The sequence below is a fragment of the Homo sapiens genome, chromosome X, assembly GCF_000001405.40.
Source record: "Homo sapiens chromosome X, GRCh38.p14 Primary Assembly".
Taxonomy (NCBI): domain Eukaryota; kingdom Metazoa; phylum Chordata; class Mammalia; order Primates; family Hominidae; genus Homo; species Homo sapiens.
Genome location: NC_000023.11, coordinates 7,098,187 through 7,126,069, shown reverse-complemented (window position 1 = coordinate 7,126,069; position 27,883 = coordinate 7,098,187). Strand labels below are relative to the sequence as shown.

At 42.7% G+C, this 27,883-nt stretch overlaps 1 protein-coding gene across 6 annotated transcripts in view, besides 7 other annotated features; it reads left to right on the top strand.

Moving 5' to 3' along the window:
* PUDP (pseudouridine 5'-phosphatase) overlaps positions 1–27,883 on the top strand; it is a 442,316-nt gene that overhangs the window by 22,084 nt on the left and 392,349 nt on the right. For 4 of the 6 annotated variants that reach the window (XR_007068202.1, XR_001755734.2, NM_012080.5 and 1 more), the window contains exon 2: positions 20,232–20,450. Coding sequence is in view for 4 of the 6 variants with exons in the window: in NM_012080.5 (NP_036212.3) it covers positions 20,232–20,450 (219 nt within the window). In the remaining 2 variants the exon portion in view is untranslated. Of the gene's footprint in view, positions 1–9,035; positions 9,105–20,231; positions 20,451–27,883 lie in introns of all 6 variants that reach the window. The other 2 variants (NM_001135565.2, NM_001178136.2) reach the window with 2 other exon arrangements.
* Positions 9,215–9,714: an enhancer, noted in NCBI's record as "H3K4me1 hESC enhancer chrX:7034397-7034896 (GRCh37/hg19 assembly coordinates)". NCBI's record gives its function as "activates a minimal SCP1, AML or CMV promoter by ChIP-STARR-seq in naive H9 embryonic stem cells {active_cell/tissue: H9 hESC(naive)}" and the evidence as "EXISTENCE:reporter gene assay evidence [ECO:0000049][PMID:30033119]".
* Positions 9,715–10,216: an enhancer, noted in NCBI's record as "H3K4me1 hESC enhancer chrX:7033895-7034396 (GRCh37/hg19 assembly coordinates)". NCBI's record gives its function as "activates a minimal SCP1, AML or CMV promoter by ChIP-STARR-seq in naive H9 embryonic stem cells {active_cell/tissue: H9 hESC(naive)}" and the evidence as "EXISTENCE:reporter gene assay evidence [ECO:0000049][PMID:30033119]".
* Positions 9,931–10,040: an enhancer, noted in NCBI's record as "active region_29388". NCBI's record gives its function as "activates an Ori minimal core promoter by ATAC-STARR-seq in GM12878 lymphoblastoid cells {active_cell/tissue: GM12878}" and the evidence as "EXISTENCE:reporter gene assay evidence [ECO:0000049][PMID:35858748]".
* Positions 15,039–15,288: an enhancer, noted in NCBI's record as "active region_29387". NCBI's record gives its function as "activates an Ori minimal core promoter by ATAC-STARR-seq in GM12878 lymphoblastoid cells {active_cell/tissue: GM12878}" and the evidence as "EXISTENCE:reporter gene assay evidence [ECO:0000049][PMID:35858748]".
* Positions 15,299–15,348: an enhancer, noted in NCBI's record as "active region_29386". NCBI's record gives its function as "activates an Ori minimal core promoter by ATAC-STARR-seq in GM12878 lymphoblastoid cells {active_cell/tissue: GM12878}" and the evidence as "EXISTENCE:reporter gene assay evidence [ECO:0000049][PMID:35858748]".
* Positions 16,619–16,668: an enhancer, noted in NCBI's record as "active region_29385". NCBI's record gives its function as "activates an Ori minimal core promoter by ATAC-STARR-seq in GM12878 lymphoblastoid cells {active_cell/tissue: GM12878}" and the evidence as "EXISTENCE:reporter gene assay evidence [ECO:0000049][PMID:35858748]".
* Positions 16,819–16,888: an enhancer, noted in NCBI's record as "active region_29384". NCBI's record gives its function as "activates an Ori minimal core promoter by ATAC-STARR-seq in GM12878 lymphoblastoid cells {active_cell/tissue: GM12878}" and the evidence as "EXISTENCE:reporter gene assay evidence [ECO:0000049][PMID:35858748]".

Here is a 27,883-nt window from a genome sequence, read left to right as displayed (position 1 = left end):
AAATTTTTTAAAAATGTAATTTTGGCATTATCTTCATATATATGCATATATCCCTGGTGGTAATTCCTAACAGGCCATTGATAGGGAATGCTAAGAGTAAGGATAGTGATATGGTTTGGCTGTGTCCCCACCCAAATCTCATCTTGAATTGTAGCTCCCACAATTCCTGTGTATTGTGGGAGGGACCTGGTGGGAGGTAATTGAATCATGGGGGCAGGTCTTTCCCGTGCTGTTCTCGTGATAGTGAATAAGTCTCATGAGATCTGGTGGTTTTATGAAAAGGAGTTTTCCTGCACAAGCTCGCTGTCACGTCTGCCGCCAAGTGAGATGTGCCTTTCATCTTCTGCCATGATTGTGAGGCCTCCCCAGCCACGTGGAACTGTGAGTCCATTAAGCCTCTTTTTCTTTATAAATTACCCATTCTCAGGTATGTCTTTATCAGCAGCCTGAAAATGACTGATACAGATAGAAATGGAAGGGTAGCGGAGGGCCTGTCACCTTCACTGAAAAAGAATAGAAGTGATTGAGTTTTGGTAGGAAAGATGATCTTTAAATAAAGCCTTTGTGCATGTTGTGGAGGACAGTTGCTGGTTTTCATTAATTCAAAAGGCCTAGGGATATGTGGGTTTGGCATTAATCTATAATGCCTCAGACACTGGAAAACTAGCTCTGAGAAGGGTTTAGGCAAAGTGACATCCATCTAGAGCTCTATGTTTGTATATTTAGCTCTTAAAATTCAAAAAGAATTTAGATTATTGCCATTAGCTAAATGGAAGCATCATGGTGCATCAATAGGAAATGGGAAAAAAAATGATTAATAGTATTTATACATATGTGTTATTCTGTAGCAATAACGAAGGCCTAGCATGCTGGGGTTTGTTTTCATTTTGTGAGGACTATACTGTGCTGTTTTTTAGTAAACTGGTGAACTGCCTCAGATAAATTGTCACACATAGTTCTGTAAACTCTGCCTGTAGCTTTCATTGACTTTAGGTTGTGAATGAAACGTTTAAAAGTTTATTTTTATGTTTTTTTTATGTTTTTTTTTAATATGTTTGAAAGTCATTGTACAGTAGCCCGATGAGGGAAAAACAAAAAGATAGCCAAAGTTACTTTTTTTTTGAGACAGAGTCTCACTCTGTCGCCCAGGCTGGAGTGCAGTGGCGCCATCTCCGCTCACTGCAAGCTCCGCCTCCTGGGTTCACGCCATTCTCCTGCCTCAGCCTCCCGAGTAGCTGGGACTACAGGTGCCCGCCACCACGCCTGGCTAATTTTTTTGTATTTTTTAGTAGAGACAGGGTTTCACCGTGTTAGCCAGGATGGTCTCGATCTCCTGACCTCGTGATCCACCCGCCTCGGCCTCCCAAAGTGCTGGGATTACAGGCGTGAGCCACCGCACTTGGCAACAAGATAGCCAAAGTTTCTTAAATGCCTTCTATTTCTATTGCTGCTGTAACAAATTACCACAAACTGAGGCCTGATTTTACCAATCTCTTGGTAAAATCGGGTGTTGGCAAGGCTCTGTTTGTTTCTGGAGGCTCTAATGGGGAATGTTTTCTTGCCTTTTCCAGCTATTAGAGGCCACCCACACGTCTTGACTCATCTTCAAAGCTAGCACTGTTTCACCTCTTTGAACATACTTTTTTAGTGCAGACGTTTGTAGCCATAATTTCCCTCCACGCAGTGCTTTTGCTGCATCCCATAAGTTTTGGTATGTTGTGTTTCCATTTTTATTCTTCTCAAAGTATCTTTTAATTTCTCTCATAATTTCATCTTTGACCCACAAATTTTTAGGAGTATGTTGTTTAATTTCCACATTATTTGTGAATTTCCCAAGTTTTCTTCAGTTACTGATTTCTAATTTCATTGTTGATTGGGAAAATATATGATTTCACTTCTTTGTAAACTTATTGAGACTTATGACCCAGCATATGGCCTATTCTGGATAATTTTCCATGTGCACTTAAGAATAATGTATATTCTGTTATTATTGGGTCAGTTTTGTATAGATGTCTGTCAAGTTTTAATGGTTTACAGTGTGTAAGTGGATTAAATCAAGTCTTGTATTTGTCTTCCGTCTAGTTGTTCTGTCCATTGTCAAGTGTGGCATTGAAATCTCCAGCTACTATTATTGGAATCAGCTATATCCCCTTTCAGTTTTGACAGTTTTTGCTGCTTGTATTTTGGGGCTCTGTGGTTAGGTTCATATATGTTTATAATTGTTGCATCTTCTTGATGGGGTGACCTTTATCACTATAAAATGTTTCCATTAAAATTGTTTGGTTTTTTTTAGTGAAATGGTTTGTCCTAAGTCTACTTTGTCTGATATTACTATAGCTACTTCAGCTCTCTTTGGGCTGTTGTTTGCAAGGAATCTCATTTCCATCATTTTACTTTCAATGCTTTTGTACCATTTGGTCTAAATTGTATCTCTATTGTAGATATCATATAGTTAGATCATGTCTTTTTTAAATCCATTCTTCAATCTCTACCTTTTAATTGGCGTTTTTAATCTATTTACATACAATGCGATTATTGGTAAGACAGGATTTACGTGCGGCATGCTGCTGTTTTCTGTGTTAAGTCTTCTTGTTACCTTATTTCTTTATTACTGCCTTTTTTAACTTTAGATATTTTTTAGCGTGCCATTTTAATTATTCTGTCCTTTACTGTATTTCTTAGTGATTGCTCTGTGGACTATGATAAACATCTTAACCACTTATTTTAAGTAGTTCACAAACCTCTGCTCCTATGTAGTTCCGTTTCCGACTCTCTTATTTCTGTTGCTGTTGTCATACAAATTACATGTTTATACCTTGTTTGCCCATCAACACTTATAATTTACTTCACACAAAATTTGATTTACAAACAAAACATAACGTTTATACTGTCTTTAATATCTCCCAAGGGGCAAAAGCAAAGCCCAGTTGTGAGCCATTGCCTTAAAGTATAAAAAATAAGTGTTACAGCATTCTTGTCCTTTATCTCATTTTAAGGTAACTTAGCACGATTTAGAAAGAACACCAGAGACGTTTTTTTAATTGGTTATTGGATAATGAGACCCCAAAAAACCCTGGATAAAAAATGTTCCATTTTTAAGTGTTTCCAAATCTGGCTTGATAGTTTCCAGAACAAAAAATAAAGTAAAACTTTATAACAATTTTTGGTATAAATACTTCAAGTTAGAACTTTGATTCATTAATCTTTATTCAAATACTGAAAGTATGTTGAGAAGGAAAATATATACAAACTCATAACGTAACTCTAGTAATAATCTCAAGTGAGTTTGACCTGGGGAGAAGGTCTGTTCAGAGAAAGGTGCATGTAATCGGGTGATGAGAATCTGAATTTGAGCCAGCTGTATCCACACAGTCTTTATAAGTCATCCCTAACACTCAGAGCAATTGCGCGGGATAGCTGTTTGCCCTGGAAAAAAGCTTGACTCTTGCTGGTGGAGCCCAGATTCAAAACGGGGGCAGGGGGTGGTTACAAAGCATATCAATCTGTTATTTCATCACATACCTGCTGCCTTCTTAAAGGAAACAGGAAAGCATTCTTTGATCAGCATCTACAGGGTCTGAGATTCTGCTTTGAAAAAATCCATGTAGGAAAAGCGAGAAGGAAAGGAAGTACACAGGAAGGGAGAGCCAATTCATCTCTGTGACCAGAAAAATTAAAAGTTCTTTTTGCACTGGTCATCTACTGCCAAATATGTGCTTTTAAATGGGAGAGAGAACAATATGCATGTACATAGCAGTATTATTCAGTATCCTGGGCTTTTTCCTCTTCATTATGGTTATCAGATTTGTGTGCAAATGAATGTAAACACACACACACACACACACACACACACATATATGGGTTTTTTTTTTTGAGACAGGGTCTTACTCTGTTGCACAGGCTAGATAGAGTGCAGTGCAGTGGTGCAACCATAGCTGACTGTAGCCTCGAACTCCTGGGCTCAACCGATTCTCTTACCTCAGCTCCCCGAGTAGCTGGGACCAGAGGCACATGCTACCACACCCAGCTAATTTTTAAATGTTTTTTGTAGAGACAGGGTCTCGCTGTATTGTCCAGGCTGGTCTCGAACTCTTGGTCTCAAGCAATCCTCCTTGCCACAGCTTCCCAGGTGCCTGGGATTACAGGCATGAGCCACAGCCCCCAGCTAACATATTCTTTAACCCCAATATCTACAGGATTTAAGACTCTCTCTGTTGGATAGCTCAACTTAAAGATATGGTAGAGCTCTCCTGAATTTATAAATCCAAATCAACAGTTATTTATTCTCCCAAGCTAGGGACCCACCCTCCTTATGGTCGCAGGGGGTTCCCTGGCACACTGCATGCTAGTTAGAAAGCCCTCACACTGACCCCAGGCTCCTCCCTATATGCCTGTACCCTTTGGCCACCTACCTGTGGATCTTTTCTCTCTGGGAGCCTCCTTGTTCTCTGTGTTTGGGACAGGCTGTCACCTTCTGTCAACTAGGGTACCTTGCTCTTAAATTATCCCTTCAATCCCACCTCCACCATAATTAAAGTTAAAACAGTAGTGGGACCTGCTTTTAGCCTGCAGTGTGTGGGCGTGGAGGGAAGGCACCCTGAAGCTCCAGGGAAGGAATGGCGCCATACTTTGTGCGCTCACCAGTGCCCCAGAAAGGATGGCACTGGGGACAAGAGCCCCAAAACATGGGCATCCCCTCCTCCCTAAGAAGGCTCAACAGAGGGTCCCCTTCAGGGATTCCATCAATAAAGAAAGCACATTTTATGAAGGGGAGTTGAGAAGTCCCAGGAAGATTTCCTCACATTGGATTCCAGGGGTCATTTATGAGTGTTGTGATGGTCGGTGGGTATTTTTTGTCATTCAGGGCTACTTCTATTAACATTGTAACTGTTCATTTTTTCCCAACCTAATAAGTTTTTCTTTTTAAAACAACTTTATGGAGGTTTAATTGGAGTACAATAAACTGCACATAAAGTATACTGTGTGACCAGTTTTGGCATGCAGTTACCGTGACACAGTTCCCACACCCAGATGACAAATCTTCCCACAACTCCCAGAAGTTTCACGTGCCCACTGCAACCCCTGCCTCTCTCTGACCCCATGCCAAAGGAACCACTGGTCTGCTTCTGAAATTAAAGATTTCCTAGAATTGTATATAGAACCACACAGTATATGTTCTTTTTTTAATCTGGCTTCTCTCATTGAGCATAATTTTGGGAACTCATGTCATTGTGTGTACCAGTAGTTTTTATGCCTTTTATTCAGTTGTGTGGCTGCACCACAGGCTGAATATCCATTGACCTATTGACAGTCTTGGCTTCTTTCCAGTTTTTAGCTGTTACAAATGAAACTGCCATAAATATCTGTGCCTAAGTCTTTGTGTAAACATAGGCTTTTCTTTCTTGAGTAAACATGTAGGACTGGACTGATTCCTTCCTGAGGATTGTATGGTAAATTTATAGTTAACTTTTAAAGAAACTGCCCAAAGAGTTGCTATGTTAGCCTTTTATTACTGCTGTAACCAGTTGTCACAAACAGTGGCTTAAAACAACACAAATGTATTGTCTTACAGTTCTGGACACCAGAATTGGTCTCAGTTGGTAAAATCAAGGTATTGGCAGGGCTGTGTTCCTTTCTGGAGGCTGTGGGGTATTGGCTGTTTCCTTGCCTCTCCAGCTCCTAGAGTGGCCGCCATTCCTGGGCTCTGACTACCGCTCCTCTTCATACCTTCTCTCTCTCCCTCCTGGCCGCCTCTTATAAGGACCTTGTGATTATATTGAGTCCACCTGGATAATCCAGGGTCACCTCCCCACCTCAAGATTCTTAATTACTTTTGCAAATTCCCTGTTGCCATGGAATTTAACATTCACAGGTTCTGGGAATTAGGACTTGGACATCTTTGGGGGACAATTATTCTCTCTACTGCAGATTGCGTCATCACTGAGTTGTAAAGTTCAGTTCCTTACGTATTCTGGATACGAGTCCTTTGGGTGTCTGTGTGTGCATGTGTGTATGTATGTATTGTAAATATTTTCCCTCAGTCTGTAGCTTGCCTTTTGCTTTCTTATGTGTATGTGCCTTTTAATTTTGAAGAAAGCCCCTTTATCCATATGTTCTCGTACGACCCTTGCTCTTTGCGTTCTATGTATAAAACCTTCACATAATCCAAGCCTCCAAGAATTTTTCTCCTGTTTTCTTTACAGAGGTTTATGATCCTAGGGATCAATATTTTTCCCCAATACAGATATGTTTTCATACAGATAGGTATGGTCTAGCAACACCTTTTGAACCAGTTCATTTTTTAAGTGATTTTTTAAATTTAAATATGGATGAGAAAAAAATTCTTAGACCAATTCCCATACCTATTAAATAGAATTGCTAATGCCTGTGAATTATGCCACATGCTAATCAAGAGTTTTACTTTGCAGATGATCACTCAATTATCTTTACAGATCTCTATTTTAAGCAATCATATTTATTATTTTTTCTCTACAGTTCAAAAATGATAGCTTACAGCTACAGGAAGCGATATATCAAATACTTAAATACTTTTTTCTAAGCCCACTAGAGCAAGCTTCTCATTTGAGGCAATATTACTGAGACTCTTAATTTTATGCTTAATTATTCATTTCAGTCCTTTAAATTCCTAAACACGAGAAAGCACTAGCATTTACATGCAGGCTCATTTGTAAAGGTGAAACAGTGACAGCACGGTGCTGTGGAAGTTTCTATCCTGTATATATAAAGCACAAAATACGTTAGTGGTTGTAGGGAAAAGCGCGGTAGTGCTCACAGCGTGTTAACAACTTGCAACATTTGTTGAAGAACAGATGATTGCACTTCTCATCATTTGATGTTCTCATCACCGTGTCTTCTCCCTTCTCATACTGCTAGGAATTTGTGCTTGGCTTGTAACATTGCTTCTACCTGACTTCTGTTTTCGGGTCTGAGAGGACATTTCTTAGATAATAGGTCATTGAAATTAGTTAGCTGAAGGTGACATATGGATAGGTCTTCAGGTGAGAAAAACATTCTGATTTACATAGTGATGTATTCTTAATCACTGTTTTTGCAAGGTTTCTCTTTGTCAGTATTTGTTTCAAAATATATTAATGAACTTATCATTTCTGATTACTGATTTATTTAACCTTGTAAGGACTGTCTCCATGTCAGTTGTCACATTTTTCTTGGTGCCTAGCACAAAGTAGGTACCCAGTCAACATTTGTTTAATTAAACTGATTGTATTCTGAGCATGTGCCATTTCTGCATACCCGGGATATCTGGCTTCTCGAGATTTTTCATCTATGATTTGAATCAATATTACATGTTATGTTTACTTGTGTGACACAGGATGGTCCCAACTTAGAAATATTTGTCTCAGAAGGGGCTCTGTGCTCAGTCACTGGAAACCTGGACTGAATTTTAATTTAAGGGGAAAGTCAATTTTAGGTTCGTTTGGATTCTAGTTCATAGCATTACAGTTTTGTTCTTCAGTTTCCACAGTGTAAATGAAATAACACATATAGCAGCAAGGAGCAGTGAGCCAGTCATACGGGTGCAGTACAGTACTTAACCAAAACAAGCAAACCATACCGTTAAATTTTGAACCAGGTAGGTTTGGGTTTTCTCCTAGTTTATAGACAGGTATTTATTCATGGAAGGCAAGTTGGATGGAGATTGCAGAAAACCTAAAAGAGAGGAATATATTTTGTGTTTTTGGACTTTAACAGCACTAACTTTGATTTCCTTTTCCTGTGACATACTTACCTCTGATTTTTGCTCACACTCAGCCTCACTGTTCTATAGTTTTGGAGTGTTTCCTGCAAATCACAGTGTCTTTCTGCTATACATTGGGATAAGAAAATATATACATGAATTAGATCTGGTAATGGCAGGCCTTGAGAATAGAGCAAAGGGTAAAACCCAAATATGTCAGCATCCAAGCCCACATAAGTGTGACAGTTCTCCAGACTGTGTTAAAGTTTCCTGATTGTATTAGGACATATTGTATTGCTATAAAGAAATGCCTGAGTCCACGTAATTTGTAAGAAAATGGGTTTAAATGGCTCACAATTCTGTAGGCTATACAGAAAGCAAGCCACTAAGGCGTGTGGCTTGTGTGCCTACAGAGCACCAGGATGAGCTCCCTTTGAGCCCTGGCTGAAGCAGGAGCAGTGGGGATGAGGGGAGCAGTGTCCTGAGGCAGCTGGGCCCTGGGCGTGGCTCAGGAAACCACCCTTCTCTTCTAGGCCCCTGGGCCTGTGATGAGAGAGGCTGCCTTGGAGACTTCTGAAATACCTGTGAGACCTTTCCCCCACTGTTTTGGTGTCAGCACTTCCCTCCTTTTTAGATATGCAAATTTCTCTGGCAAGTGGTTGCTCCACAGCCTGCTTGAATTCCTCTCCTGAAAAAGCTTTTTCGTTCTCTGCCACATGGCCAGGCAGCATATTTCCTAAACTTTTTTGCTCTACCTTCCCTTTAAATATAACTTCCAACTTTGTCATTTCTTTGCTTCTGCATCTGAGCGTAGTCTGTTAGAAGAAGCCAGGTTACACATAGCATGCTTTGCTGCTTAGAAATTTGTTCTGCTAGATAACCTAAAGGATTACCCTGAAGTTCTAACTTCCACAGAACCCTAGGGCATGAACAGAATGCAGCCAAGTTCTTTGCTAAGAAATAACATGTGTGACCTTTCCTCCAGTTCTCAGTTTCTCATTTCCATGTGAGACCTTGTTGGCCTGGACTTCACCATCCATATCACTATCAGCATTTTGATCACAACCATTTAACTGTTCTCTAGGAAGCTGCAACTTTTCTCTCATCTTCCTGTGTTCTTCTGAGCCCTCCAAACTCTTCCAACCTCTGCCTGTTACCCAATTCCAAAGTCACTTCCATATTTTCAGGTATCCTTGTAGCAACACGCCACTTCTGGTACCAATTTTCTGTATTAGGCCGTGCTTGCATTGCCTTAAAGAAATGGCTGAGTCTAGATAATTTAGAAGAACAACGGTTTAATTGGCTCACATTTCTGCAGGTTATACAGGAAGCATAGTGGCAGCTGCTTCGGGGGAGTCCTCAAGAGGCTTACAATCACGGTGGACGGGTAAGCAGGAGCAGGCATGTAACATGGCAAAAGCATGAGCCAGAGAGAGAGTTGGGGGGAGGTACCATGCACTTTTAAACCACCAGCTCTCATGTGAACTCAGAGCAAGAGCTCACTGATCACCAAGTGGAGGATGGCCCAAGCGAAGGATCTGCCCCCATGATCAGTATACCTCCCACCAAGCCCTGCCTCCAACATTGAGGGCTACAATTCAGCATGAGATTTGGGAGGGAATAAATATATAAACTCTATTACTGACCAATGCAGTTTCTCCTCATAAACACTGACCTGATGCAGGGTCTTTTTGGCGTAGAGGGGGCATGGAGATTAGTTCATTCTGATTGGTCATTACCAAAGGCTGGGCAAGGGCATGTGGTAAGGGATGCAGGAGTGCCTGTGGAATATAGAATGGTGAATGAGGCTGAGCAGGGCAGGGGTCCCAGGGCCCAGAGAGAAGTGCCTGGCCCACCATCCACCTGGGAACATGCTAGGGGTTTGCTAACGGATGGCCAAGGTGGCTGGGAAGAAACCAGGAGGCAGGCCAGGGTAGGAGGGCAGCCACACTCATCCCATGAGTCTAGTCGGCAGCCCAGGGTCCTTGGCCAGCTCAATGACTTATCTCCTTTAAGGGACTTGATTGTCTCAGGCATGCCTACAGAGTTTCCACCGCCAGCCAGAGAGCCAAAATGTTTCCCAAGCCAATCCCATGAGATGCCTCACTTCTAGTGAGCCACCCCCAGCCCCCACAACAGCCTCCAGTCAGGGCCCACCTGAAGCCTCCCTTTTCCAACTGTAAAGCTTTCCCAGCTCCCCAACCTGCATTTGAGCTTCTGCCAAAGGCAAGTGCTGGTGTCCAACTTTCTTGCTATGCAATCTCTGAATGAATAGCCTCTGCTCGTTCTCATTTGAAGAGATTTTCATTTACCTTCACACATGGACAGTTATCTTTATAACTTAACTCAGTGCCTCCTCATTTACCAGAATCTGGTCTTTTCGTGGGCTTCTCTTGTCTTCCCGCAAATGTAATAATGCCTTCCTATGACACTAGGATGCTTTGAGCAGATAGACTCTTCCAGTCCATGCAAAGAGGTGGTGTGGTTTGGCCTCACTCCTCACTGCAGGCTTAGGCCAGCTCCCCCTTGCAGCCACGTGCGTGGACGTGACTCTGGGAGTGAAGTGAAATAGCGCTGCCGACAGGATCTGGGCTCTGTGCTGTGTGCCAGGAGCATAGAGAGCAATGTGAAACAGCTGTTGCCCACAGTGACCTTTCAGAACAGTTTTTGCTGTTAGGGTTCTAGGGATTACTAAGTAAGCTTGGCTGGTTAAGAAGGTCAAAAAAAGCCCAAGGCAACCCCAGCTGTCTGAACTAGCCATTTCAGAAGGCTGAAACCTTTCTGCTGTGAAGGGCTGGATTTCCTAGCTTATGTAGTTCAAAGCTCAGTTTTTAGGATTGCTGTGCTACTTACTGACCGAAAGTTGGTTTTTGGAAATTGACCCTTATTTTCCAATATCTTTCATAAAGCTGGAAATGCTTTCACTAGAAGAAAAGGAGGATCTTATGTTAGAACATATATATATAGCGATGTAAAAGTTTCAGTAGTTACTCTCAAAAGAAGGTCACCAAGGACAACTGTGATTTCATATGTAATGATTCCAGCCTAGAAAATGTTTTTTTCTTGATTTCCATTTAAGAGAGTTGAGCCAATTAACTAATCCTTGCATATGGTATGTTCCATTAAGTTGTCAGTGTTTTTATTCCAAGATGCATGTTTCTTTAAAAGAGCTAGCTTATTAGGGCATGTCTTCATAAGCACTTTACCCTGGCCATGTCCGTGAGAATGCTGTGCATAACTTTCATTGAATTCTACATCTCATTTGATGCAGGCCTAATTAACTATTATTAACTGAGAACTCCAATTTATTGGAATCATTTGCTGCAGTTAACTTGAGAAAGAATGGGGCATGTTTAAGGGTCCTTATTTTTAAATCTCTCTTTCATTACAAACACATTAACATAAGTCTGATTTGGGGGTGACAGAAGGAAATAGGAAAATAAATGTAACTAAACCATAATGGGGTACAATATAAAGGAAAGTAAGTACTGGGATGAATATCATCATAGATTGTTTATTCTTTAATTTGTACTAATTTGTACATTTGTATATGTACAATTAAGCACTTCTTAGTTAAGATTGATATATTTTTAAAATCACAACTTTATAGAGCACAAGTCTTACATGAAAACATAATGCCAGGTCAGTGGCCCTCCACTTGAGCACACATTCAAATCACTGAGAGGGCTCTGTAAAACACACATTGCTAGGTCCCACCCCAGCTTCTGATTCTGTAGATCTGGGGTAGGGCCTGCTGTGTGGTTTGAACGTTTGTTCTCTCTGAAACTCATGTTGAAACTTAATCCCCAATGTGGCAGTATTGAGAGGTGTGGGGTCTCTAAGAGGTGTTGGGTCATGAAGGCTCTGCCCTCATGAATGGACCCTTTCGTTCATGGATTAATAGATTAGTGAGTTGTTGGATGAATGCGTTATCAAAGGAGTGGGACTGCTGGCTTTGTAAGAAGAGGAGGAGGCTGGGCACTGTGGCTCACACCTGTAATCCCAGGACTTTGGGAGGCCGAGGCAGGTGGATCATGAGGTCAGGAGTTTGGGACCAGCCTGGCCAACATAGTGAAACCCCATCTCTACTAAACCCCATCTCTACAAAAAATTAGCCAGGCATGGTGGTGTGCACTTGTAATCCCAGCTACTCGGGAGGCTGAGGCAGGAGAATTGCATGAACCTGGGATGCAGAGGTTTCAGTGAGCTGAGATCACGCCTTTGCACTCCAGCCCTGGCTACAGTGCGAGACTCCGTCTCAAAGAGAGAAAAAAGAAAAAAAGAAAAAGAGAGAGAGAGAGAGAGACCTGAGCTAGCATACTCAGCCCCCTCAAGATGTGATGCTCTGTGCTGCCTCGGGACTCCATGGAGTCCCCACCAGCAAGAAGGCCCTCCCAAAATGTGTCCCCTCGACGTTGGACTTCTCAGTCCCCATAACTGTAAGAAATGAATGTCTTCATACATTACCACGTTTTAGGCATTCTGTTAATAAGCAGCAGAAAATGGAATAAGACAGAGTCCAAGAATATGTAGTTGGACAGCATCTCACTTCATACTGATGCTGCTGGTCCGGGGACCTCATTTCGAGAATCAAGGTGTTTAGGAAACAAGCAGTAGAATATCTTAGATGAACAATACTAGTGGTGTACATTTTAAATAAATTGAACAATTACTGATTAGCTACTATGTACTGTCAAAATGGTTCAGAAAAATGACACCACCACTTCTATCAAAATGTACTGGATGTTGGGTTTTTTAATTAAAGCAACTTCACTTTAAAATGTGGTTTTACACACATTCAAAACACTGCTGACCCTCTTTCCTCAGCTGCCATTAAGGTGCTTAGCCCTTCCGAGGAAGCTAAGGCCTTGTGAAGCTGTCACTCATTGGGTGACTAGCACCCTGCCCGGTGGCACCAGCCCCGCACTCGCCCACACCATGGCCTCCATCTTTGTTTGAGCTCACTTGCATCTACTCGGCCCTCATTCTACAGTGCAGTGTGGTGACCATCACATAAGACCGTCGCCCTCATTAAAGCAGCTAGTGTAAATGGTGAAACTTTTGGGCCTGACCTGTTTGCAAGGGCCTGGCCAGTGTCAACATCGGGAGCCTTTTTGGTAGCATGGGGGCTGGTGGACCTGTACCTACAGGCAGTTCTGCCCCTGTACCATTTCCCCAGCCAGAGTCAACATTGGGAACCTCCTCTGCAGCAGCATGGGGGCTGCTGGACCTGTACCTGTAGGCAGTCCTGCCCCTCCACTGCTGCCCCAGCTGAGCAGAAGGAAGTGCAAGCAAGGAAAGAAGCATCTGAGGGATCTACTTAGGACACGGGCTTTAATCTTTTTGAAGAAACCTCTTTTGTAACATGATCAGTGAAAAGCTGAACTCTTGGCTGGGCACCGTGGCTCACACCTGTAATCCCAGCACTTTGGGAGTCCATAGTGGGAGGATCACTCCAGGCCAGGAGTTCAAGACTAGCCTGGGCAACATAGGGAGACCGTGTCTCTACAAAAAAAATTAAAAATCAGCCTGGTGTGGTGGCGCACACCTGTAGCCCCAGCTACTTGGGAGGCTGAGGCGGGAGGATCACTTGAGCCCGGGGGGTCAGGGCTGCAGTGGGATGTGATCACCCTACTATACTCAGGTGAGACCTTGTCTCAAAAAGAAAAGCTGAACTCTTAAAACGTGCACACACACAGTCAGCTAACATCTTCATAACTGTCAGATTGTGACAATTTGATTCTAACTCAAGATCAGCCTTTCTTGTAGTTTATTTTGTGTCTTTAAGGAACTAGCCTATCTAACACAAAACACTGGCTTTAAGTTTTTTCTCTTTTTTGTAATTGGGAATAAAAATTATGCTCAAGATACATCAAGATTAGTTTTGGAGAAAAAAAGCATTAAGTAGATTCAGTTGTGCAAGATGCACAAAGTGTAACTTCATAAGTAAGCGGTCACAAACTCGGGTTCATAATCCGTTACCCAAAATCTATGGAGCCAGATGTATTTAAATATAGGTTATTTTTAAAAGGTATTAGAATTCATATGTTCCATGACACAGAACGTTCTCAGGCAGCACCCGTAATCAAATCCATTAGTATTTCTATAGGGAAGTGCTTGAAGAGTCGCACTAAGTATGATAAATGTGGACCATTAAAACCACCTCATGCTAGCCCAGTACAGATTTTGCAGTGTTTTCAGAAGCTTTTGGGTTATGGAATTGGGAACAGAGGCTGTGTTTGTTCCTCTGCAGCCCCGGCAATTAAGAAGTGTTTGTGAAGCTGGTTTAATGTGCCTAGCAGGTGTGATGTATTGGTGAATTCCAAATAATTGATAGTTTTGTTTGCTTTTTTTTTTTTTTAAGCAAAATATTTGGTAGGAGGCACTTTAGTTTCTCAAGTTCAATAGCTGTTTGCTCTTACTGGAGCGTTGCTGTTAAGGGAGACAGCAGATCTTGTCAATTCCCTATAACTCACGGTTAACAAAAGCATTCCCTAATGATTCCATATGTTGATGCTCAGAGGTAATTCTGGGCCAAGCGCTCAGAGCACAACACAGATTATTTCACTCCATGGACGCAACCGCCTAGAAGGTGTGTGGCATGACTACATCATTAGGATCCCATTTTAGAGGTGTGCAAGCCAAGGTCCAGCAGGCTTATAAGACCTGCAGTATGAATAGGATCCTCATTTTATAGGTGCTTTACCCAAGGCTGCTAGCTTCCAGAGTTTCCGGCTAGAAAGCTGCAGAGTTGGGGTTTCCCGAAAGACCACCAGGCTTTAGAGGACCTGGCTTCACTGCCTGGGCTGCCTGCCACCTCCCACACCTAAAGCATCTCCCCCCGCCCCACCCCACCCCCAGCTTTAAGGCCACCCCCGCTCTGCAGGTCAGCGGCTATTAAATACATTTCTCCAATAAACATCGTATGTTAGACAGGCTAAGAAACTTGTCCCAGGGCGTGCAGCTGAGCTGGGAGTTTTCTGCAGGTCTCTTGGGTCCCCAAAGCCCTAGGTCTTGTATGAACATGAGGGTAGGAGCAAAATCAGGCCTTCCCATGTGTATTAATGTTACTCTGTTCTCACACTGCTATAAAGAACTTCCCTGAGACTGGGTATTCTGTAGAGGAAAGAGGTTTAATTGACCCACAGTTCCACATGGCTGGGGAGGCCTCGGGAAACTTACAGTCATGGCAGAAGGGGATGGCAAGGCAGCAGGAGAAAGGGGCAAAGGAGGCACTTGCAAACACTTATAAAACCTTCAGATCTCACTATCACGAGAACAGCATGGGGGAAACCACCCCAACGATCCAATCACCTCCCTCCCTCCACACTTGGGGATTACAGTTCGAGATTGTCAGGCCTCTGAGCCCAAGCTAAGCCATCATATCCCCTGTGACCTGCACGTATACATCCAGATGGCCTGAAGCAACTGAAAAACCACAAAGTGAAAATAGCCACTTCCTGCCTTAATGGATGACACTCCACCATTGTGATTTGTTCCTGCCCCACCCTAACTGATTGACCTTGTGACACTCCTTCTCCTGGACAATGAGTCTCAGAAGCTCCCCCACTGAGCACCTTGTGACCCCCACCCCTGCCCGCAAGAGAACAACCCCCTTTAACTGTAATTTTCCACTACCTACCCAAATCCTATAAAACTGCCGCACCCCTATCTCCCTTTGCTGACTCCTTTTTCGGACTCAGTCTGCCTGTACCCAGGTGATTAAAAAGCTTTATTGCTCACACAAAGCCTGTTTGGTGGTCTCTTCACAGGGCTGCATGTAACAGATGAGATTTAGGTGGGGACACAGCCAAACCGTATCACCATATGTGCTTCTTAATGACAGTTGGCTCAAGGTGTTTTCCCCGTAAATAACGCAACTCACAGTTATAAAATTGAAGATAGGTCCCCATTTGCATGGTAAGCAGGTACAGCTCCCTGAGAGAGCAGTTGGGGAGAAACCCTCGCTTTTTATATCTTTGTTGGGTAAAACATCAACCACTGTGCCTCAGGGGCGGACTTAGTGAGCATTTAAGATACATTTTCAGTTATAAAATGTTACTTGATTTGCAGCAATTACCCAGTCTCCGCCTTAGACAGAAACTTAGAGGCCATCGGCCTAGACTTCCTCCAGGCACAGGGCTTCCATAACAGTTGAATTAATTTAAGCCTTAATGCCTCCCATAAGCCCCCGGGAACTCAGGCTGCCTCTGAGGATGAAAACACCCGCCAGTCTTTGGGCCCCAGCCTGGGGCACCCTGTAGCTTCTTCAGAGCTTCCACCTCCCTGCCAGGCTCTCCCCCTCCCCATGCTGCCCTTGCAGCTACTACAGAAGCTGCTCTCAACATGCCACACAGATTCCAGCTGGGAGGAGGGGAGTGGTCACAGTCACAAGGGATATTTTCTAATTCTCCTAAGGAGGGTAGTAGTGTATGTGGCCCTAGCATGTTAAAAACAATATGACCTTTCCTGGTAAAAAGGACCCTGAAGCAATGTTAAAGCTGCAAGCTTGTTAGTAAGCAGGGAAGAATATCCATCTGATGGCCCTAGTGCAAGTGTTTTATGCTCCTTTATTTTATTTCAGCATTTTTCCTTTCACAACGCTGTCCCTTTAAGTGTGCCATCATCAACAGCTGTAGTTATCATTTGATCTGAGGAGTTTAATTACTTGTTTAGATCCTTTCTTATTCCACGGATTTAGGATTATTTTATCTAAATGGTGAGGAAAAGTGTCTGTCTGCACAGTCCCCTACAGATTTATAATCCCACAGTTCTGTGTCTTTTAAATTAAAAGCTCCATGACATTTTAAGCTTTAAATAAACACTGTTGGAAGCATTTTTAGAGGATACAGCTGTTTTCCTGCCTTTGTCCACACTCCTTTCTTCCTGTTCGCACACTCGCCTTAGTCAGAGTTCCACGGAGCACCTCCATCGTCCTGCCTGCCCTCTGTTCTGTTCCTTCACTCGGCTTTTCAAACCCGACAGTGGTGTCTCACTTGTTCGATGCCTGCAGTTTCCTTTTGTCAATCTTCCTCTCTCAACTACTAGAACAAACACTCAAGGAAGTAAAATGTGCCGCCTCACTGCCAATCCGTCCATCTCCTTGCCCTGAGAGCCTTGGCTCTTTCTCCCCCTCACAGAGAAGAAGAAAATAAAAGGAGCGCTCATGCCTGGGTAACCCTCCCTTAGAGGAGGCTTTTCACCACTCAGCTGTTGAGGAGGAGGGTGGGCCAGCCCTTCCTTCTGTTCTGCAGCTTCTGTAGGGAGACCGAGTGCAGGATGGAATCCAGGAAGCCTTGAGTTACTCAGGTTGTTACTTGAACTTCGACTTCTACAAACCAGCCCAGACTTTTCTAAGAGTCCTGTCTTTTGTACTCTCCTAAAGGGCTTTGAGCCCTCCATTCAGGGATTGGGCCTTCACAGTCTGCAGTATCCAGAACGGTGGAGGTTCTGAGGTTTGTTTGGTGTGTTTTACAGCAAACTTAATAAAATACAGCTTGTGGCCAGGCGCAGAGGCTCATGCCTTAATCCCAACACTGGGAGACCGAGGCTGGAGAATCACTTGAGGCCACCAGTTTGAGACCAGCCTGGGCCACAGGGCAAGGCATCCCATGTCTACAAACAAAAAAATAAATGAAAAAAATACAGCTTGTGGTAGAAAAGCAAGGAGAAAAATATTATAGTGCTGAAAATGAAATGGCACCTGCAGATGCAGCTGTGGGTGGATTTGCCAAGAAAAGCAGAGAAAGAACAGAGGAGGGCTCTTCTTGTTGCTGTTAGCAGTCAAAACCAGAGTATCCATCAGGAGGTGGAGAAGCCAGGGGTCTTCTGCAGGGAAGAGGGCCACAGAGGGGGTCAGTGCACAGGGGGAGGAAGGAAGATGGGGAGTGCAGGGCAGGGGCCACCCAAAAGCCCAAGGAAGAGCCCAGTCCACAATAACCAGCCTCTCCTGGTCTCCAGTGTCCACAGGGTGGACTGGGCCCAGCCTCAGCCCCATCCCAGGAGGAAGAGCCAGAGAGTTCCCCAGGCAAGTGCAGTGAGCCCTGGGACCAGGAGAGAAGCGTGCACAGAGGCAAAGTCCACACCGTGGCAGCCAAAGCAGTCAGTGAGCCCAGTCCTCTGAGTATAAGGCGGCAAGAGCCCTAGCCGATGCTGCAGGTGCAGTCAAGAGATGCAGTTTGGATGCTGCTGAAGGAACATGATACAGGGCCACACGGAAAACTTTTTCTCAAGACAGCAGCACTCTGCCCTTGGTTCATTCAGGAATTTTGCATATAGGTGGTGGATATGATTGACTGCCCAGGCCTTGTGTCTACACAGATGACCATTCACCTTCTGTGAGAAAGATGCAGGAGACAAAGCACAGGTGGCCCTACCATTGCAGCGGCTCACAAGAGACCTTCCCGGCCTCCTCCATGTGTGACACAGCGAATCCTGCCGTGTGGTGCAGGCAGCTCTCTGCATGCCTATCTGGGAGGAGCAGATATTTTGGAGTTAAAACCTGCCCTAACTCTCTTTTTTTTGAAGACATAATTTCGCTCTTGTTGCCCAGGCTGGAGTGCAGTGGCACGATCTTGGCTCACTGCAACCTCCGCCTCTTGGGTTCAAGTGATTCTCCTGCCCCAGCCTCCTGAGTAGCTGGGATTACAGTCACATGCCACCATGCCCAGCTAGTTTTTTGTATTTTTAATACAGACGGGGTTTTGCCATGTTGCCCAGGCTGGTCTTGAACTACTGAGCTCGGGCAGTCCTCCTGCCTTGACCTCCCAAAGTGCTGGGATTATAGGCGTGAGCCACCGCGCCCGCCCCATAACTCTCCTTTAGTCGCAGTTCATACCTTGCCAACTTTCAAAACACATCGAGGCAATTACAGACAAGCATGCATACCTATGTGCATGTAAGCATGTGAACATACATAGGAGTATGAAGACTTACATGCCTCTTGGATACACATAGCCTTCTCTGTGCGTACACGTTACTTCCCTCAGTGTGTCCTGGGTCTCCCAGATACTATCTTACAGGGAAAAAAACTAGTATTTAGGGATGATTATTGTATTTGTTTATGTCATTGTGGGACAGTTAAAGGCCATTGAGATCGCCTGCTCTTTTCAGGACTTCTTGTTGGGTCCAGCTGTACAGATTCAAGGTAGACTACGTCCTGCTAATGCTGCTCCACACCCTGTGGGAAGGTTTCAGTGCTAAATCTAGAACAGGTGGTCAGTCTCCTAACTGAATTTGAATCCAGATTTTTGTCAGATGCATCCGTGTGTCTTCTTCTTAAATCAGTTGTGAACAGGGCTATTTCCAGCCTCTCGGGTTCAGGGACTGCCTCTGTGCCACCGCAGACTGGAAGACAAGGACTCTGCCCAGGCCTTGGGATAGCCTTCTGCCTTCACTGGGGCCTTGGGGGGATTGTCATCAGGCAACACTCAGCTCCATGGAGCTTACCTGGGTTTGAAATTCCACTTGGTAGACATTCCTCTGTGTTGAAGTATTTCTTTTTTTTTGGCATAATGCCTCCTAGCAGGTCAGTTAGTTGGTTCTTCAGTAAAGTAATCTTTCTAGGCCCACACTGGAGACAGAGTGGGGAAGACAGCTAGTGTGTAACAAGCATGCTCTAGGAGGCTGGCACTAGAATGTTACTTATGTGCCCTGAAATATTCATTCTGTAAAGTAGGATTATTTCACTGTAGTAGCATCCTCAGTAGTATTCTTATTGGTAATATGAGTGCAATTGATACTATGTATATATTAAATATACATACAGAAAAAACACATGAATAGAAATGGGTGTGAGCCAGTACTAGTTATTATATTGTATGTAGTGTAATCTAGCGTATATTAGTGGTACTGGTACTATTATTAGCAGTATTCCTGTTCATCTTGTGTAAGCGTGAGGAAAGCAGGCACCTGCAGGCTCACTATGTTTCTGAGGCTGTGCCCTGAGTAAGTGCCGAGCCGGGAGTTAATTCTCAGGTCAGCTTTCACCATCCCGTGACAGCCTGTGCATTAAATGTTCTGTTCTTACCTGGGAGCTTCACAGCAGCATCCTGGCCAGGCATGGTGGGGATTCATCCCACTGGGCAGTGGAAATGTCCTTAATACTAGTGGGCCATGCAGTGGACTTTGTCAGCTGGTGCTGGCTTCCATGTTGTTGGGAACACCGAGTAATGATGCCTTGTGCTATCGAATGGAATTGACCATTCCAAGGATATATTTAGATTCAAATACGTACATTTAAACAGAAAACACAATAATACAGATTTCATTTCTCTCCTGAGTTCTGAATTTCCAGATCACAACTCCAGACATAACTCCAGCAGCCTTGAGAGGAGGCTGCCCATAGTATAATTTAGTGAGAATGACCTGCAAGCCTTTCTCCTGTTCACTTAGGTCTCCACAAAAGCCTTTGTTCATGGAATGAGACCTACACAGTGTATGTTTATGCGGACCTGATACAAACTTACTGTTCATACAGTATGCACTCTAAAAATCTCTTTTTTTTTTCCTGCAGATACTGAACGGCTGTATTCAGTGGTGTTTCAAGAAATATGTAATCGCTATGACAAGAAATACAGCTGGGATGTAAAGTCCCTGGTTATGGGTAAGAAGGCATTAGAGGCGGCACAGATTATAATAGACGTCTTGCAGCTCCCGATGTCCAAAGAGGAGCTGGTGGAAGAAAGCCAAACGAAGTTAAAGGAAGTGTTCCCCACGGCTGCGCTCATGCCAGGTGCGGTTGCCTCGCTGTTTGCAGGGTTATGTTTGTGACTATTAGCAATGGTTTTGTAAATCACCTTTAAAGTCTAGCATAGGGCATGCTTAGTTTGTCCTCTTTTCTTCAGTATCTAAACTAAGTCCCTCCTGGTGCTCCTGAAAGAGTTTGGCTGATGCTGTGGGATGCTGTGATTCAATTTTCTCTTTAAAAGCTTCTTAAAATAATATGCGTTAGTTTCAGTGATTTCTGGGTTCCAAAAACATTTGAGTATTGTTTATATTACTATATATAAAGATTATGTTAATGACAGAATGTCTTCAAAGTTTACCTTAATAGATGGTTTTGCCTTTTTCTTTTCAAAATCAGATATAGGATTAATATTTCAGCAACTATTCAAACTTTAACAAATTGATAAGCAGCTAAATCTCCCCAAAGACGCTTAATTAAAAAAAAAAAAAAGTAAAAAGTCGAATTCATTTTTAGCCTGTGTGTTTATATGCCGTTCAGCCCTTTCTTTACTTGTATCCAGTTTTCTTCGGAAAGGAAAAACAACTTTGTTCCCTCCGTGCTTGTTAACTGACATTCAATCAGAACGGGCTTGCCTGACGCTCCTTGTTCAAGAATATTCTAGATTACAGACCTTGAAAATAGACTATTTGAAGATTTTTCTGGGATATACAGGATGAATACTCTGTCTTTAGAATTCCTGGTGCTAGGGGAGAAAAAAAACAGCAGTTATGTGAGTAATCTTGGATTTAAAATGATATTAATATGAAGCATACCTACTTTTGAAATGTATGTTATTATTTATATTTATACATATGTCCAAACATGTGGATTGACCATTCCTGGGCAGCACACACACACATGCAAACACACACCCTTTGTAATCACTCTGTCTGCATCCACTGAAAATGGTAGTGTTTGTGAATCTCAGGCATGGGTACGAGCATCGTGATACTCAGTTCTCTGCATCTAGTGTCTTTCTGCACCATTTGCACATGAAGTTACCTTGATAAGTCTTGGTGAAACACATCCATACAGTTACTATATACAAATTTAATTGTGGTAGGACACAGACACACACACTAAAATTTACCATTTTACCTATTTTAAAGTGGGCAGTTCAGTAGTGATAAGTCTATTCATGTTGCTATACAATTGACCTCCAGAACTTTTTCATCTTGCAAATCTGAAACTTCGTGCTCATTGAACAAGTCCCCATTTCGCCCTGCCCTCAACCCCTGGCAGCCACCATTCTACTTTCTGTTTCTAAGATTTTTACTACTCTCCATACCTCAAATAAGGAGAATTATGTAGTATTTATCTTTTTTTGATTGGTTTATTTCACTTAGCATAATGCCCTCAAGGTTCATCCATGTTAGAGCATGTGATAGGATTTTCCTCCTTTTTAAGGCTGAACAATATTCTATGGTATGTTAGACCACATTTTGTTTATTCATAGTTCATTTGTTGAGGGACATTTGGGTGGCATCCACACCTTGGCTGTTCTTGTGAATAATGCTTATATAAACATGAGTGTACAAATATCTCTTTGAGATCCTGCTTTCTAGTCTCTTGGGATATACCCAGAAGTGGAATTGCTGGATCCCATGGTAATTTTATTATTAATTTTTGAGTGACCACCATATTGTTTTCCATAGTTGTTACACCATTGTATATTCCCACCAAAAATCTATAAGGGTTCCAATTACTCCACATTCTCATCAACTCTTGCCATTTCCTGGATTTTTTTGATAGTAGTCATCCTAATGGGTGTGAGTTGATATCTCTTTATGGTTTTGATTTGCATATCTGATGATTGGGGATGGCAAGAATCTTTTCATTTGCTTGTTGGCCATTTCTGTATTATCTTTGAAGAAATGTCTGTGCACATCCTTTGCTTATTTTTGATTTTTGTGTTTTTGTTTTTATGTTGTAGGAGTTCCTTATGTATTTTGAATGTTAAACTGTTATCAGACATATGACTTATGACCATTTTCTCCCATTCTGGCTCCCTTTTCGCTTAGTTGTTGGTGTGCATAAGTTTTTGATTAGATGAATTTGACATATGTCATCTCATTTGTCTAATTTTGCTCTTGTTACCTGTGCTTTTGGTGTCATAGCCAAGAAATGATTGCCAATTCCAATTTCATGAAACTTTAATTTATGTTTTCTTCCTGGAGTTTTAGTTTTAGGTCTTACATTCAGGACTTTAATCCATATTGAGTTAATTCTTGTGTATGGTGTTAATTAGAATCTAGCTTCATTCTTTTGTACGTGGATGTCCAGTTTTCCCAACACTGTTTGTTGAAGAGACTTATCTTTTCCCCATTGAGTAGTCTTGGCTGGCTCGTTGAAGATCGTTTGACAAATACGTGAGAGTGTATTTCTGGGCTATCTATTCTATTCTATTAGTATGTAGGCCAGTACTGCACTGTTTTGATGAATGTAGCTTTGTAATATGTTTGGAAATCAGGACATGTGAGACCTCCGATTTTGTTCTTTTTCAAGATTGTTATGGCTATTTGGGATCCCTTGAGATTTTTTATGAATTTTAGGATGTATTTCTCTGTTTCTGCTCAAAATGCCATTGGGATTTTGATAGGGATTGCATTGAATCTGTAGGATTGCTTTGCATGCTATGAATGTCTTAATATTAAGTCTTCCCATCCATGGGCATAAGATGTCTTTCAATTTATTTGTGTCTTTCTTTCAGTAGTGTTTTGTTTTGTAGTTTCAGTTTATAGGTCCTTCACTTCTCTTATTTCTAGGTATTTTATTCTTTTGATGCTATTATAAATGGGATTGTTTATAATTTTCTGTTCAACTTGTTCATTGTTAGTATATTAAAATGCAACTGATTTTTGTTTGATGTGTATTCTACAACTTTGCTGAATTGGCTTATTGGTTCTAACAATTGGGTTTTTTTTTTTAATATGTTGAATTGTAGTGATTTCTATATATATGATCATGTAATCTGTGAACAAAGATAATTTTGTTTCTTCCTTTCCAGTTTGGATGCCTTTTGTTGTGTTTTCTTGCCTAATTGCCTGGCTGAGACTTCCATTATTATACTGTCTAGTAGTGACAAGAGTGTGTATCCTTGTTGTGTTCCTGAACTTAGAAGAAAAGCTTTAGTCTTCATTGAGAATGATATTAGCTGTGAACTTCTCATATATGGCCTTTAATATGTTGAGGTAGTTTTTTTTTTCTATCCTTAATTTGACTGTTTTTAATCGTGAAAGGGTGTTGGAGCTTTTCAAATGCGTTTTCTTTCTGCATCAATTGCGGTTTTTGTTTTTTTTTTTTTTTTTGGTTCCTTATTCTGTAAATGTGGTTTCATATGTTGAACCATTTTTGCATTCCAGGAATAAACTTCACTTGTTCATGTATATGATCCTTTCAATTTGCTGTGGAATTGTTTGCTAATATCTTATTTAGACTTTTTAACCTGTGTTCATCAGGGATATTGATCTGTATTTTGTTTTTCATATAGTGTTTTCCATGTTTGGTAGGGTTCTCCAGTGAAGCCATCTGGTCCTGGGCTTTTCTTTGTGGGGAGGTTTTCTTTTATTACTGATTCAGTCTCCTTACTACTTACAGATCTGTTCAGATTTTCTATGTCTTCATTTTTTCCCCCTTCTCAAAATCATCAGGGATTCTCTGTCTTCATGATTCAGTTTGGGTAGGTTGTGTGTTTCTAGGAATTCTTTTATTTCTTTTAGGTTATCCAATTTGTTGTCAAAGGATATGCCAACAAATAGTATTCTCCTTTATTTTTGTGGCATTGGTTGTAGTGTTGCCCCTTGCATTTCTGATTTTAGTCATATGAGTGTTTTTGTTTTTTGTTTTTTTAGTTAATGTAGCTAAGGTTTGTCCATAAAGTTACTCTGTGACTGAGTGTCTTTTGTGACTTTACAAAGCACTCATGATGTATGAGGCATGCACGTGTCTTATTTCTTCCATATCTACCCAAGCCTTTCACATGGTTTTCTTTCTACACTTTTTGTTCTATATTCTAAGATATACTTGAAATATGTTCTACTGCAATTCTTAAAAAGAAAAAAATGTTTTATCTAGATAGTCTGGTAGTTTGGCTGGAGTGCTAGTGAATCTGTTTTATGGAATCTACTTGGTGATCCCATCAACGTAGTGTCTTCATTTGGCTTTCTAAGCGAGCAGGTATCAGATTAAGTAAGGTGCCAATCATAGAAACTCATAGAAGGTGAACAACCAGCCAGGAGCTAGTTCTTCAAAGATAGTTCAGTCCTATAGAACTTATCTAGATGGCTCTCTTTTCTTTCTTTACTACTTTTTGACCTCTTTAACTTTTTTTTTTTTGACTTGACAAATCATGTTTTTTGGCATATGATTTGTGTGTGCGCGTGTGTGTGCACACGCATATACTTATTTTAACTTTTACTAGCCGCTCAGTTGCGAGTAGGGACTTCAATACTGAAAGTCTCTCTTTGAAAATGATCATATCTACATGCCATATACACAATTAGCTGTGCTTTGACAGAGCAGAGCATGCAGAAGACTTGAAGAGTATACAGAAATGCACAAGGTAATGCTGGAGAGAAGAAACTTAAAATCATGCTGGGATGCTGGCTCAGATGATGTGCAGGGACAGTGGTCAGATGATGTGCCGCTTTGGTATTCTGAAACGAGTTAGGTGTAGGATAAGACAAAATTATTAGAAATCATACTTAACCTGAAGGGAAAGCAAGCCAGAGGAGGACAATGTTGGACTGAATGTATAGAGCAGAAAGACAGGCCGTGCCTAATTCCAATCCAGAAATGTGTTCTTCCTTAGGGTTTCTGCTCAATATTATACCAGTCACAAAAATGAAGATAAAATAGCTCTTCTGTCCTGAAAGAACATTCTTGGAGACCTAGTTTCCATTCATTTTGCACTCCTCCCATCTCCTCTTTTATCTGCGCCAAACCTGAATTCCCCTCGGAAGGTGACCTTATAGCGTCATTGCTCTGGTGACTAGATTCAGAGAAACTTGCTGCTGTAGTCTTTCTTCTAGGTGTTCATTTTGCTCACTTACTACTTTGTTCCTGTTCTTAAGGTGTAGATGATAATATAACCCTTGACTTTGTTTCTTTTCCTTCTGGAAGTATTTTCTGGTAGGGTATGTTAGGTTGTGGAAATGACCTTGAGCTCTTTAGAAAAGAAAGCTGTCTGTAGGGAGGGCTTTTTAATTCAACGTCATTCTTTTTCACATGCTTTCAGAGCGACAGCCGAACCCAAGGAGGTATTTAGCAAGTTAAATTGCCGGAGTGAATGGTAGATTACCAGGGGAAGCAGCCCCTGATCATGCTGCAGGGGCTGTGTGCTGTGATTAGGCTGCAGGAGGGTGTCTGCTTGGGCCAGTCACCAGGGAATCAGCTTGATTATGCTGCAGGGACATGACTACCTGGGCCAATAACCAGGGAATCAGCTTGATTATTCTTGGGGGTGTGTCTGTCTTGGCCAATCACCGAGGAATCAGTCCAATTATGCTGCAGGGGTGTGTCTGCCTTGGTCAGTCACCAGGGGATCAGCCTGATTATGCTGTTGGTGGGTGGGTGGTAGGGGGCCGGGGAGGGGGACGGGATGGGGTGAGGTGGGGGACGGATGGGTGTCTGCCTTGGCCAGTCACCAGGGAATCAGCCTGATTATGCTGCGGGAGTGTGTCTACCTAGACCAATAACCAGGGAATCAGCCTGATTATGCTGCAGGGTGTGTCTGCCTTGGCCAATCACCAGGGCATCAGCCTGAGTATGATGTGGGGGCATGTCTGCCTGGGCCAGTCACCAAGGAATCAGCCCCCTGATTATGGTGCAGAGGTGTATCTTTGGCTTGATCATGGTATAGAAGTGTATCTTTGCCCTGATTATGAAGCAGAGGTGAGTCTGCCTGGTCATGGTATAGGAGGGCTCTTTGCCTGGGCCAGTCTAGCCACTAAGAAGACAAGGTGGACCTAATGGACTTGAAAGACGAGGCAGAGTGGCCCTGATGCACTCGCACATCAGCTGCCTATTTGCTATCATCACATTTCTGGAAGGCCCTCTCTATGAAAAGGTGGGTGGGCCTACGATGTCCTCAGTGGGAAATCCTTTTGAGCAGTTAGTTCTGTAGGCATTTCTTATATGGCTTCATGGTTCCATGTAAACTGTCGGTCAGCCAAGGCTTAAATTATTTTAGGAAAATAAACTTTTAAATTGTGGCACAAATTTTAGAGGAAAAAATGCATGTGGTTCATCTCTTGTGAGTTTTCTAGGGATTTTAAAAATAGGTACCGTATTACAACTGGAAATGTATGTCACATTACTTAAAAAAAATCTTCACTTAGGATATCAGAAAATCTTGTTTAAAACATAGCCTATGCTGGTTACCTCCATTGTATCTTGAACAAATCCTTTCAGTAATGAATTCCTTGGGACAGATGAAATTCTACATTTCATTATAACTCAGCGAGGGTAATTTGGATTCAAAGACCAATAAGAAGAAAGTTGGTGCCTTTTATTGTGTAGAATCCCCCAGGAGTTTTTTCTGTTGTCCCAGCTCTCTGCTTTCCCATGTGTTTTCACTAAGCATGAGATTCCTAGAGGAAGAGCCCAGGGCATGGTATCTGGGCCAGTAGAAAGGACAGCCTGCCTTGCAGATGTGCTCCTCAGCCTGGCCGGCTCTCCCCTGCATCTCTTGGCCGGCTCTCCCCTGCATCTCTTGGCCGGCTCTCCCCTGCATCTCTTGGCCGGCTCTCCCCTGCATCTCTTGGCCGGCTCTCCCCTGCATCTCTTGGCCCTTACCGCCTGCACCAGGCTCTCTGGTGTTAACTTCCTGCCCTCTACTTTCCCCCTCTCAGACCATCTGGAGCAGAAAAAGCAAACTAGAACCCTGGCCCCCTGGAGAGTCGTGGATGGGTGCCAGAGCTCCCCTTAGGTGGCTGAGGGGAGGGAGCAGGTGTGGCCTGTGTGGTAGAAAGGATGGGTCCAGTCACAGCTCTGCAGCGGAGCACTCCTCCTGCTGTCCAGCCCCAGTCCCCTTAGGACAGTAGGAGTACTGACTGACATGCCCACTGTGGGGTACTATGATCTGAATGTGTCCCCCAAATCTAGTGTTGAAACTTAATTGCCAGTGTGATAGGATTAGGATATGGGGCCTTCAGGAGGTGATTAAGTCCTGAAGGTGGAGCCTCATGGATGGGATTAGGGCTGTCATGAAAGGACTAGAGGGTAAGGCCTGCTCTTCCATTCCTCTGTCACCTGAGGATACAGCATTCCTCCCCTCTGGAGGGTACAGCAACAAGGTACCATCTTGAAGCAAGGAGCAGTCCTCTGCAGAGACAGACCTGCTGATGCCTTGATCTTGGACTTCCCAGCCTCCAGAGGTGTGAGAAATACATTTCTGTTCTTTACAAGTGTCCAGTCCCAGATATTTTGTTATAGCAGCA